We start from the raw sequence: 10,817 nt of genomic DNA on the forward strand, positions 1-10,817 counted from the left end.
CCTAGCTTCTGAGCTCCGCCTTTCTGGGTCCGTGAGCCCTCCCTCGTTTTGATTCTTGGAGGATGCTCTCTTAACCCTGCCTACTCCTTGGCAATTTTGCTTTAGTTTGGACTTCCTGCTCTTGTTATCCTGGACTTTACCTTGATGCCCCTCTGGTGCCCGGTTGTCCTCACTGTGACCACGGGAGGGGGCATCCCTGACCTCTGCCCACAGCAGTCCTTGTAGCACCAGGCAGGGCCCTGCCGGAGAAGAGGAACGGGAAACGGATGTATTAAGAGATTGATGGCGAGGAGGCCAGGCACGGTGGCTCACGCCTGTAATCCCAGCACTTTGGGAGGCCAAGGCGGATGGATCACGAGGTCAGGAGATTGAGACCATCCTGGCTAACACAGTGAAATCCTATCTCTACTAAAAAAAAAAAAAAAAAAAAAAAGAAAAGAAAAAAGAAAAAAGTACAAAAAATTGGCCAGGTGTGGTGGCGGGTGCCTGTTGTTCTAGCTACTTGGGAGGCTGAGGCAGGAGAATGGCGTGAACCCAGGAGGAGCTTTGAGTGAGCCGAGATCACGCCACTGCACTCCAGCCTGGGCAACAGAGTGAGACTCCATCTCAAAAAAAAAAAAAAGAGAGATTGATGGTGAGGAATTGGCTCACACGCTTGTGGGGCTGAGTGTGCAGGTGCAGACACACAGGGCGGACCTCAGGCAGGGCAGCTGGACCTCTTCCTGTGAGAAGCCGCTGTCCACAGGCGGAATTCCTTCTTCCTCAGGGAAGCCTTGGTCAGGCCTTTCAGTGGGTTGCCTTGGGTCCGCCGGGATGGTCTAGGATAATCTCCCTTATCTATAGTCAACTGATTTTGAACTTTAATGGCACGTGCAGGAGACCCTCACAGGAAACCTAGATGTAGGTTGGAACAGCGGAGGGCTGTGGCTGGGCCAAGTTGACACATAAAACGAACAGTGCCAGGCCCCACGGCCTTCCAGTTAGGCCTTGCTTTGTGCTAGGCTCCTTGTAAGAGAAGGGAACTTTATGAATGGTTCATAAAATTCCATGTGTTATCTCCCGAAAAAGAAGTTTCTCAAAGCAGGGCCTGCACTAAGTACATGCTCTAAGGCTCTAGGGGACAAGGAAACAGATTCCCTCCTAGAGCCTCAGAGGGAGGCAGCCCCGCCGGCACCTTGCTTTCAGCCCAGTGAAATCCATTTCAGACTCTGGCCCCCAGAAGGAAGAGCCTTGTATATATTGTTTGTTTTATTAACAGCTCTAGGCTTAGCAATAGTATGTCCTGACACTTTACATCAATTGCTTGAAATTGGTACATATTTCCACACATAAAGAAACAAATCATAAAGGAGTTGAGGCTGGTTTCAAATTACATTTGCTACATGACACAGGAGTTCTTCTTGGGGCTAGGAACCAAAGTGGAGGAAGATTCAAGTTTCAAGGTGAGAATTCTGTTCTCCCTTCCAGATAGGATTTGTTGCAGGCAAGATTTTACAGCATGCTGCTGGTGCCTCCATTGCCCTTTCTGCGTCTTTCTGCACTTCCCCGGGGGCCCAGGCCTCCTGAGGCAGCAGGTTTCCCACTGTGGTAGCTGCGCCCTGCCCAGGGCTCTCAGTGGTGCCGTGTACCTTGGGGAGGGACCCTGAGTGTGCCTGGGATTCCCAAGTCCCTGTATTCCAGGACCGCATTCGATCTCCTGACATGTGTGCAGTACCCGCCCTAGTGTGACCCTGGACTCTTCCTGTCTCTGAACCTCCAGAGTGTCCAATTTCCTTACCGCTGTGCAACCTCCTCAGACCCGGGCCAGCTCAGTGCTTTGGGTGAGAGAATTTCAGCCCAAGTGACCAGCCTGGTGGGTCACTCCTGTCCTGGCCCCCTGACCTCTTGTACAAGGAGAAGTATGGCCTGCTGAATTTTCGTTAAGCATGGGGCCCATCGCAGTAATGGCTGCTTACGCTGGTCAGGGCCAGGATCAACACAGGCATAGACATCCCCTGGCATCTCAAAGGTGGGCCTGAGGGACAGTGACATGTAAGCAGTGGGGGATGGCAAATACATACCAACTGTGGGTTTTTGTTCAATATTCCATATAATCCAATACCTTTTATTTTGAAATGGTACTCTGTGTTGGTTAAACATCTTGTAATTGTTTTTCCTGACATATACTCCATCACCTAGAAACAGGTACAAAAATACAATTCTATTTTTAGAAATCCTGATTGGGCACCTTCTCTTTTGTAACCAAGGCCACATAGAGTGTTTGAGGAAGCTCTGCCTGCGTCCTTTGATGGTGCCCCAGAGCTGGGCTCTGACCCTGCCCCCAGTGGAGACCTGGCCATCGAGCGGGAACTGGCTGTGGTCTGAGTGGCTCTAGACACCTGGAGTCACTGGTGTGCAGGGGCTCTCAGCCTTGAAGATGGAGATGGCAAGGATCAGAGCAAGAAGGAGCAGGAGGAGCCCCAAGAACATGAGAACATTGCCCAAGCCATCAACTAGGAGAATAACCAGAGGACCAGGAGAGGCCTTTGGAGCCACACTGACCTGAGTCCTGACTCTCGGCTCTGCCTTTGATGTGTTGTGTGGCTGAGAGGTTTTCTGTTGTGGGTATTGATGGTGTTTTTTTAATTTTAAATTTTATTTTAATTTTTATTTATTTATTTTTTATTATACTTTAAGTTCTGGGATACATGTGCAGAATGCGCAGGTTTGTTACATAGGTATACATGTGCCACGGTGGTTTACTGCACCCTTCAACCCATCATCTACATTAAGTATTTCTCTTAATGCTATCCCTCCCCTAGCCCCCCACTCCCTGACAGGCCCCAGTGTGTGATGTTCCCCTCCCTGTGTCCATGTGTTCTCATTGTTCAACTCCCACTTACGAGTGGGAACATGTGGTGTTTGGTTTTCTGTTCTTGTGTTAGTTTGCTGAGAATGATGGTTTCCAGCATCATCCATGTCCCTGCAGAGGACATGAACTCATCCTTTTTTATGGTTGCATAGTATTCCATGGTGTATATGTGCCACAGTTTCTTTATCCAGTCTACTATTGATGGGCATTTGGGTTGGTTCCAAGTCTTTGCTATTGTGAACAGTGCCTCAATAAACATAAGTGTGCATGCGTCTTTATAGTAGAATGATTTATAATCCTTTGGGTATATACCTGGTAATGGGATTGCTGGGTGAAATGGTATTTCTAGTTTTAGATCCTTAAGGAATCGCCACACTGTCTTCCACAATGGTTGAACTAATTTACACTCCCACCAACGGCATAAAAGTGTTCCTGTTTCTCCACATCCTCTCCAGCACCTGTTGTTTCCTGACTTTTTAATGATCGCCATTCTAACTGGCGTGAGATGGTATCTCATTGTGGTTTTGATTTGCATTACTCTAATGACCAGTGATGATGAAATTTTTTTCATATGTTTGTTGGCTGCATATATGTCTTCTTTTGAGAAGTGTCTGCTCATATCCTTTGCCCACTTTTTGATGGAGTTTTTTGTGTTTTTTCTTGTAAGTCTGTTTAAGTTCTTTGTAGACTCTGGATATTAGCCCTTTGTCAGATGGATAGATTTGCATAAATCCCATTCTGTAGGTTGCCTGTTCACTCTGATGACAGTTTTTTTTTGCTGTGGAGAAGCTCTTTAGTTTAATCAGATCTCATTTGTCTATTTTGGCTTTTGTTGCCATTGCTTTTGGTGTTTTAGTCATGAAGTCTTTGCCCATGCCTGTGCCCTGAATGGTATTGCCTAGGTTTTCTTCGAGGATTTTTATGGTTTTAGGTCTTACATTTAAGTCTTTAATCCATCTTGAATTAATTTTTGTATAAGGTGTAAGAAAGGGATCCAGTTTCAACTTTCTTCATATGGCTAGCCAGTTTTCCCAGCGCCATTTATAAAACAGAGAATCCTTTCCCCATTGCTTGGTTTTGTTAGGTTTGTCAAAGATCAGATGGTTGTAGATGTGTAGTGTTATTTCTGAGGCCTCTGTTCTGTTCCATTGGTCTATATATCTGTTTTGGTAGCAGTATCATGCTGTTTTGATTACTGTAGCCTTGTAGTATAGTTTGAAGTCAGGTAGTGTGATGCCTCCAGCTTTGTTCTTTTTGCTTAGGATTGTCTTGCTACACAGGCTCTTTCTTGGTTCCATATGAAATTTAAAGTAGTTTTTTCTAATTCTGTGAAGAAAGTCAATGGTAGCTTGATGAGAATAGCATTAAATCTATATATTACTTTGGGCAGTATGGTCATTTATTGATTCTTCCTATCCATAAGCATGGAATGTTTTTCCATTTGTTTGTGTCCTCTCTTATTTCCTTGAGTGGTGGTTTGTAGTTCTCCTTGAAGAGGTCCTTCATGTCCTTTGTAAGTTGTATTCCTAGGTATTTTATTCTCTTTGTAGCAATTGTGAATGGGAGTTCACTCATGATTTGGCTCTCTGTTTGTCTGTTATTGGTGTGTAGGAATGCTTGTGATTTTCGCACATTGATTTTGTATCCTGAGACTTTGCTGAAGTTGCTTATCAGCTTAAGGAGATTTTGGGCTGAGACGATGGAGTTTTCTAACAGAGACAATTGACTTCCTCTTTTCCTAATTAAATACCCTTTATTTCTTTCTCTTGCCTGATTGCCCTGGCCAGAACTTCCAACACTATGTTGAATAGAAGTTGTGGGAGAGGGCATCCCTGTTTTGTGCCGGTTTTCAAAGGGAATGCTTCCAGTTTTTGCCCTTTCAGTATGATATTGGCTGTGGATTTGTCATAAATAGCTCTTATTATTTTGAGATACATTCCATCAATGCCTAGTTTATTGAATTTTTAGCATGAAGGGCTGCTGAATTTTGTCAAAGGCCTTTTCTGCATCTATTGAAATAATCATGTGGTTTTTGTCTTTGGTTCTGTTTATGTGATGGATTACGTTTATTGATTTGCATGTGTTTAACCAGACTTGCATCCCAGGAATGAAGTCGACTTGATCGTGGTGGATAAGCTTTTTGATGTGCTGCTGGATTCGGGTTGCCAGTATTTTACTGAGGATTTTTGCATCGATGTTCATCAGGGATATTTGTCTGAAATTTTCTTTTGTTGTGTCTCTGCCAGGTTTTGGTATCCGGATGATGCTGGCCCCATAAAATGAGTTAGGGGGGATTCCCTCTTTTTCTATTGATTGGAATAGTTTCAGAAGGAATGGTACCAGCTCCTCTTTGTAACTCTGGTAGAATTCGGCTGTGAATCTGTCTGGTCCTGGACTTTTGTTGGTTGGTAGGTTATTAACTGCTGCCTCAATTTCAGAACTTGTTATTGGTCTATTCAGGGATTCAATTTCTTCCTGGTTTAGTCTTGGGAGGGTGTATGTGTCCAGGAATTTATCCATTTCTTCTAGATTTTCTAGTTTATTTGTGTAGAGTTGTTTATAGTATTCTATGACGGTAGTTTGTATTTCTGTGGGATCAGTGGTGCTATCCTCTTGATCATTTTTTATTGCATCTATTTGATTCTTCTCTCTTTTCTTCTTTATTAGTCTGGCTAGTGGTCTATCTATTTTGTTGTTCTTTTCAAAAAACCAGCTCCTGGATTCATTGATTTTTTGAAGGGTTTTTCATGTCTCTATCTCCTTGAGTTCTGCTCTGATCTTAGTTATTTTTCATCTTCTGCTGCTTTTGAATTTGTTTGCTCTTGTTTCTCTAGTTCTTTTAATTGTGATATTAGGGTGTCAATTTTAGATCTCTCCTGCTTTCTCTCGTGGGAATTTAGTGCTATAAATCTCCCTCTACACACTGCTTTAAATGCATCCAGAGATTCTGGTATGTTTTGTCTTTGTTCTCATTGGTTTCCAAGAACATCTTTATTTCTGCCTTAATTTTGTTATTTACCCAGGAGTCATTCAGGAGCAGATTGTTCAGTTTCCATGTAGTTGTGCAGTTTTGAGTGAGTTTCTTAATCCTGGGTTCTAATTTGATTGCACTGTTGTCTGAGAGACTGTTATGATTTCCATTCTTTTGCATTTGCTGAGGAGTGTTTTACTTCCAACTATGTGGTCAATTTTGGAATAAGTGTGATGTGGTGCTGAGAAGAATGTATGTTCTGTTGATTTGGGGTGGAGAGTTCTGTAGATTTCTATTAGGTCCACTTGATCCAAAGCTGAGTTCAAGTCCTGGATATCCTTGTTAATTTTCTGTCTCATTGATCTGTCTAATATTGACAGTGGGGTGTTAAAGTCTCCCAGTATTATTGTGTGGGAGTCTAAGTCTCTTTGTAGATCTCTAAGAACTTGCTTTATGAATCTGGCTGCTCCTGTATTGGGTGCATATATATTTAGGATAGTTAGCTCTTCTTGTTGCATTGATCCCTTTACCATTATGTAATGCCCTTCTTTGTCTATTTTGATCTTTGTTGGTTTAAGGTCTGCTTTATCATAGGCTAGGATTGCAACACCTGCTTTTTCATGCTTTCCATTTGCTTGGTAAATCTTCCTCCATCCCTTCATTTTGAGCCTATGTGTGTCTTTGCACATGAGATGGGTCTCCTGAATACAGCACACCAATGGGTCTTGATTCTTCATCCAATTTGCCAGTCTGTGTCTTTTCATTGGGGTATTTAGCCCATTTACATTTAAGGCTGATATTGTTATGTGTGAATTTGATCCTGCCATTTTGATGCTAGCTGGTTATTTTGCACGTCAGTTGATGCAGTTTCTTCATATCACTGATGATCTTTACAATTTGATATGTTTTTGCAGTGGCTGGTACTGGTTATTCCTTTCCATGTTTGGTGCTTTCTTCAGAGCGCTTGTAGGGTAGGCCTGATTGTGACAAAATCTCTCAGCATTTCCTTGTCTGTAAAGGATTTTATTTCTCCTTTGCTTATGAAGCTTAATTTGGCTGGATATGAAATTCTGGGTTGAAAGTTCTTTTCTTTAAGAATGTTGAATATTGGCCACTCTCTTCTGGCTTGTAGGGTTTCTGCTGAGAGATCCGCTGTTAGCCTGATGGGCTTCCCTTTGTGGGTAAGCCGACCTTTCTCTCCGGCTGCCCTTAACATTTTTTCCTTCATTTCAACTTTGGTTCATCTGACGATTATGTGTCTTGGGGTTGCTCTTCTCAAGGAGTATCTTTTTAGTGTTCTCTGTATTTCCTGAATTTGAATGTTGGCCTGTCTTGCTAGGTTGGGGAATTTCTCCTGGATAATATCCTGAAGAGTGTTTTCCAACTTAGTTTCATTCTCCCATCACTTTCAGGTACACCAATCAAACGTAGATTTGGTCTTTTCACATAGTCCCATACTTCTTGGGGGCTTTGTTTATTTCTTTTCACTCTTTTTTCTCTAATCTTGTTTTCTCACTTCATTTTATTGAGTTGATCTTCAATCTCTGATATCCTTTCTTCTGCTTGATCCATTCGGCTATTGATACTTGTGGTTGCTTCACGAAGTTCTCATGCTGTGTTTGTCAGGTCCATCAGGTAATTTATGTTCTTCTCTAAACTGGTTATTCCACTCATCAACTCATCTAACCTTTTTTCAAGGTTTTTAACTTCCTTGCATTGGGTTAGAACATGCTCCTTTAGCTTGGAGAGTTTGTTATTACCCACCTTCTGAAGCCTACTTCTAACAATTTGTCAAACTTATTCTCCATCCAGTTCTGTTCCCTTGCTGGTGAGGAGTTGTGGTCCTTTGGAGGAGAAAAGATGTTCTGGTTTTTGGAATTTTCAGCCTTTTTGCGCTGGTTTCTCCCCATCTTTGTGGATTTATCTACCTTTGGTCTTTGAAGTCGGTGACCTTCAGATGGGGTCTCTGAGTGGATGTCCTTTTTGTTGATGTTGATAATATTCTTTTCTGTTTGTCAGTTTTCCTTCTAACAGTAAGGCCCCTCTGCTGCAGGTCTGCTGGAGTTTGCTGGAGGTCCACTCCGGATGCTGCTTGCCTGGGTATCACTGGCGGAGGCTGCAGACCAGCAAAGATTACTGTCTTTTCCTTCCTCTGGAAGTTTCTTCCCAGAGAGGCACCCACCAGATGCCAGCCTGAGCTCTCCTGTATGAAGTGTCTGTCGGCCCCTACTGGGAGGTGTCTCCTAGTCAGGATACATGGGGGTCAGAGACCCACTTCAGGAGGCAGTCTGTCCCTTATCAGAGCTCGAACACTGTGCTGGTAGATCTGCTGCTCTCTTCAGAGCTGCCAGGCAGGGACGTTTAAGTCTGCTGAAGCTGCACCCACAGCTGCCCCTTCCACAAGGTGTTCTGTCCCAGGGAGGCGGGGGTTTTATCTATAAATCCCTGACTGGGGCTGCTGCCTTTTTTTCAGAGATGTCCTGCTCAGAGAGGAGACAATCTGGGCACAGGGGCCTTGCTGAGCAGGGCTGGGCTCCACCCAGTTCGAACTTCCCTTGGCTTTGTTTACACTGTGAGGGTGAAACCGCCTACTCAAGCCTCAGTAACGGCAGATGTCCCTCTCCCCACCAAGCTCGAGCATCCCAGGTTGACCTCAGACTGCTATGCTGGCATTAGAATTTCAAGCCAATGGGTCTTAGTTTGCTGGGCTCCGTGGGGGTGGGACCCACCAAGCCAGACTACTTGGCTCCCTGGCTTCAGCCCCCCTTCAGGGGAGTGAACGGTTCTGTCTCACTGGTTCCAGGTGCCACTGAGGTATGAAAAAAACTCCTGCAGCTAGCTCGGTGTCTGCTCAAACAGCTGCCCAGTTTTGTGCTGGAAACCCAGGGCCCTGGTGGTGTAGGCACGGAAGGAATCTCCTGGTCTGCAGGTTGTGAAGACCGTGGTAAAAGTGCAGTATCTGGGTTGGAGTGCACGGTACAGTCCCTAATGGCTTCCCTTGGCTGGGAGAGGGAGTTCCCCAGTCCCTTGAGCTTCCCAGGTGACGGGCTGCCCCACCCTGCTTTGGCTCGCCCTCCTTGGGCTGCACCCACTCTCCAACCAGTCCCATTGAGATGAACTGGGTACCTCAGTTGGAAATGCAGGAATCACCCGCCTTCTGCATTGATTTCCCTGGGAGCTGCAGACTGGAGCTGTTCCTATTTGGCCATCTCGCCAGCAACAGCTGGTGTTTCTTAACCTGTAAGATAGGGATAACAATATCTACCTCATAAAATTGTTTTGAGGATTAGAAAAGATGCCACGGGTAAAACACCTGCATCAAATGGGTACTGCATAGATAATTGTCACTATTACGACTACTGATGTGGGGCAAGAGTCCTCAGAACATGCAGAGTGCTTGATTAACCTCAGTCAATGATGGCTGTTATTTTTATTGGTGGAAATAATAATATTACTACTACAACTCCTACTAATATGCAGCTGAGGGAGAAATTCAAGGATATAATGCGTGACTCAAGTTTATGATATGTCACGGTGGAGAACAGAGCAACTAGTTTGCTTGGAAATGTGCTTTCACTGGGTCAAAGACTTGGGCATTGAGGAGGCTGCAGAATCTGGTGGCTGAGTCAGGGAGGCTGGGTACTGAGCAGGGGCTCAGCTGGGCTGAGGTCTGTTATCCCAGTTCTTAGCCCTTCTTAAAGGGTCCAATAAAAGCCCCTGTTGCATAGTCCCCCAAAATTCTTAGGGCCTAGTTCTTTTTTTCCAATTGGTTTACAAAGCCAATTACAAAAACAACACATTGACATTTACAGAATGTCGGGCAAAGCTAAAACAAAGGCAGTGTTGCTCAACTGTATTTGAGAAGGGCCTGTCAGAGGATGGGGTCATTTGAGCTGGATTTGATGCAGCAAAACAAAATGCTAGATTTTGACAAAATCTTAAATGAGGACTGCTGAAGTAGATTAGATCTGGAGTGACCTAAGGCAGAGCTTGTTCTTTGCAGTAAAGGAAAGTAGCCTCCTGCCTGTGTGTGTCTGTGTTTGCCTGGGGTAGTGGGCAAATGGGGGAAGTTGAGGGAAATCAATTCCATTTATAAATGAATCCATTTGGATCTCAGCAAGGACAGATGAACACACCAAGATCTCTCTTATGGGGAGCAGTGTGGCCCAGTCATGATCACCTGGGCCTGAAACACCTCATAGTTGCTGAGAGAAAGCACATTGTAGCAATACAAATCCCTTTTGCTGAATAGGCCTGCTGGTATCATATCCATTTACACTGCTGCATTTTTACACAGGTCACACCTAATTTAGGTGAAACCCCAAAGCAACAGCCATCAACTACATGTGCTGCTCACCATTTCCCTCCTTTCCACTTCCAGCTCCTGATCCTTTTGGTGATGTCTGTTGCTAAGGAATCTAGTGTGGCCTGCGGATATCTAGGTCATATTGCTGTGGATTAAAAGGAAAAACTAGAGGGCTCCTTTGGAGTTAGCAGTCATCACCAAATGCCTCTGGACTGCCACCCACCTTAGCTCAGTCCTTCACCTGTGCAGCTCTGCTTTCGCTTTGCGGATGCAAGTCACACATCAGTGGATTTTTTTAGGAATAATCTTCTTTGTCTTCTCTGTAGCATTTGGGTATTGACTATTGGATACCTGCTTCTTTGATTTTGCATGAATTGCATTATACAGATTCTCTGCCGCTCTCCTATCATTACTTCCATTTCCCATTTAGAGTCCCCTTCCTCATGCTCCTCCCAGACATGAGGTTCACAAGGTTTTCTCCTCTTTTCTCTGACCCTGCCATGCAGAAATCACTCCTTCTCACAAGGCCAGGAATCACCTGAACACACAATTCACAGAGCAGGCCTTGCCACGCACCCCTCCCAGAGGTTAGCTCACATCTTCCCAACTTCCTCTGCATTCCGAGACATTCTCTCCCCTTCCTAGATGCTCGTGGCTGAAACAGCACACATGATTTCCTTTCAGAATTC

At 44.5% G+C, this 10,817-nt stretch overlaps 1 annotated feature.

The window, feature by feature from the left end:
• Positions 8,296-8,529: a silencer, noted in NCBI's record as "fragment chr8:53764919-53765152 (GRCh37/hg19 assembly coordinates)". NCBI's record gives its function as "represses an EF-1alpha promoter that drives an FKBP-Casp9 reporter gene in an ReSE screen in K562 erythroleukemia cells {active_cell/tissue: K562}" and the evidence as "EXISTENCE:reporter gene assay evidence [ECO:0000049][PMID:32094911]".

Source organism: Homo sapiens, chromosome 8 (genome assembly GCF_000001405.40).
Source record: "Homo sapiens chromosome 8, GRCh38.p14 Primary Assembly".
NCBI classification, from domain to species: domain Eukaryota; kingdom Metazoa; phylum Chordata; class Mammalia; order Primates; family Hominidae; genus Homo; species Homo sapiens.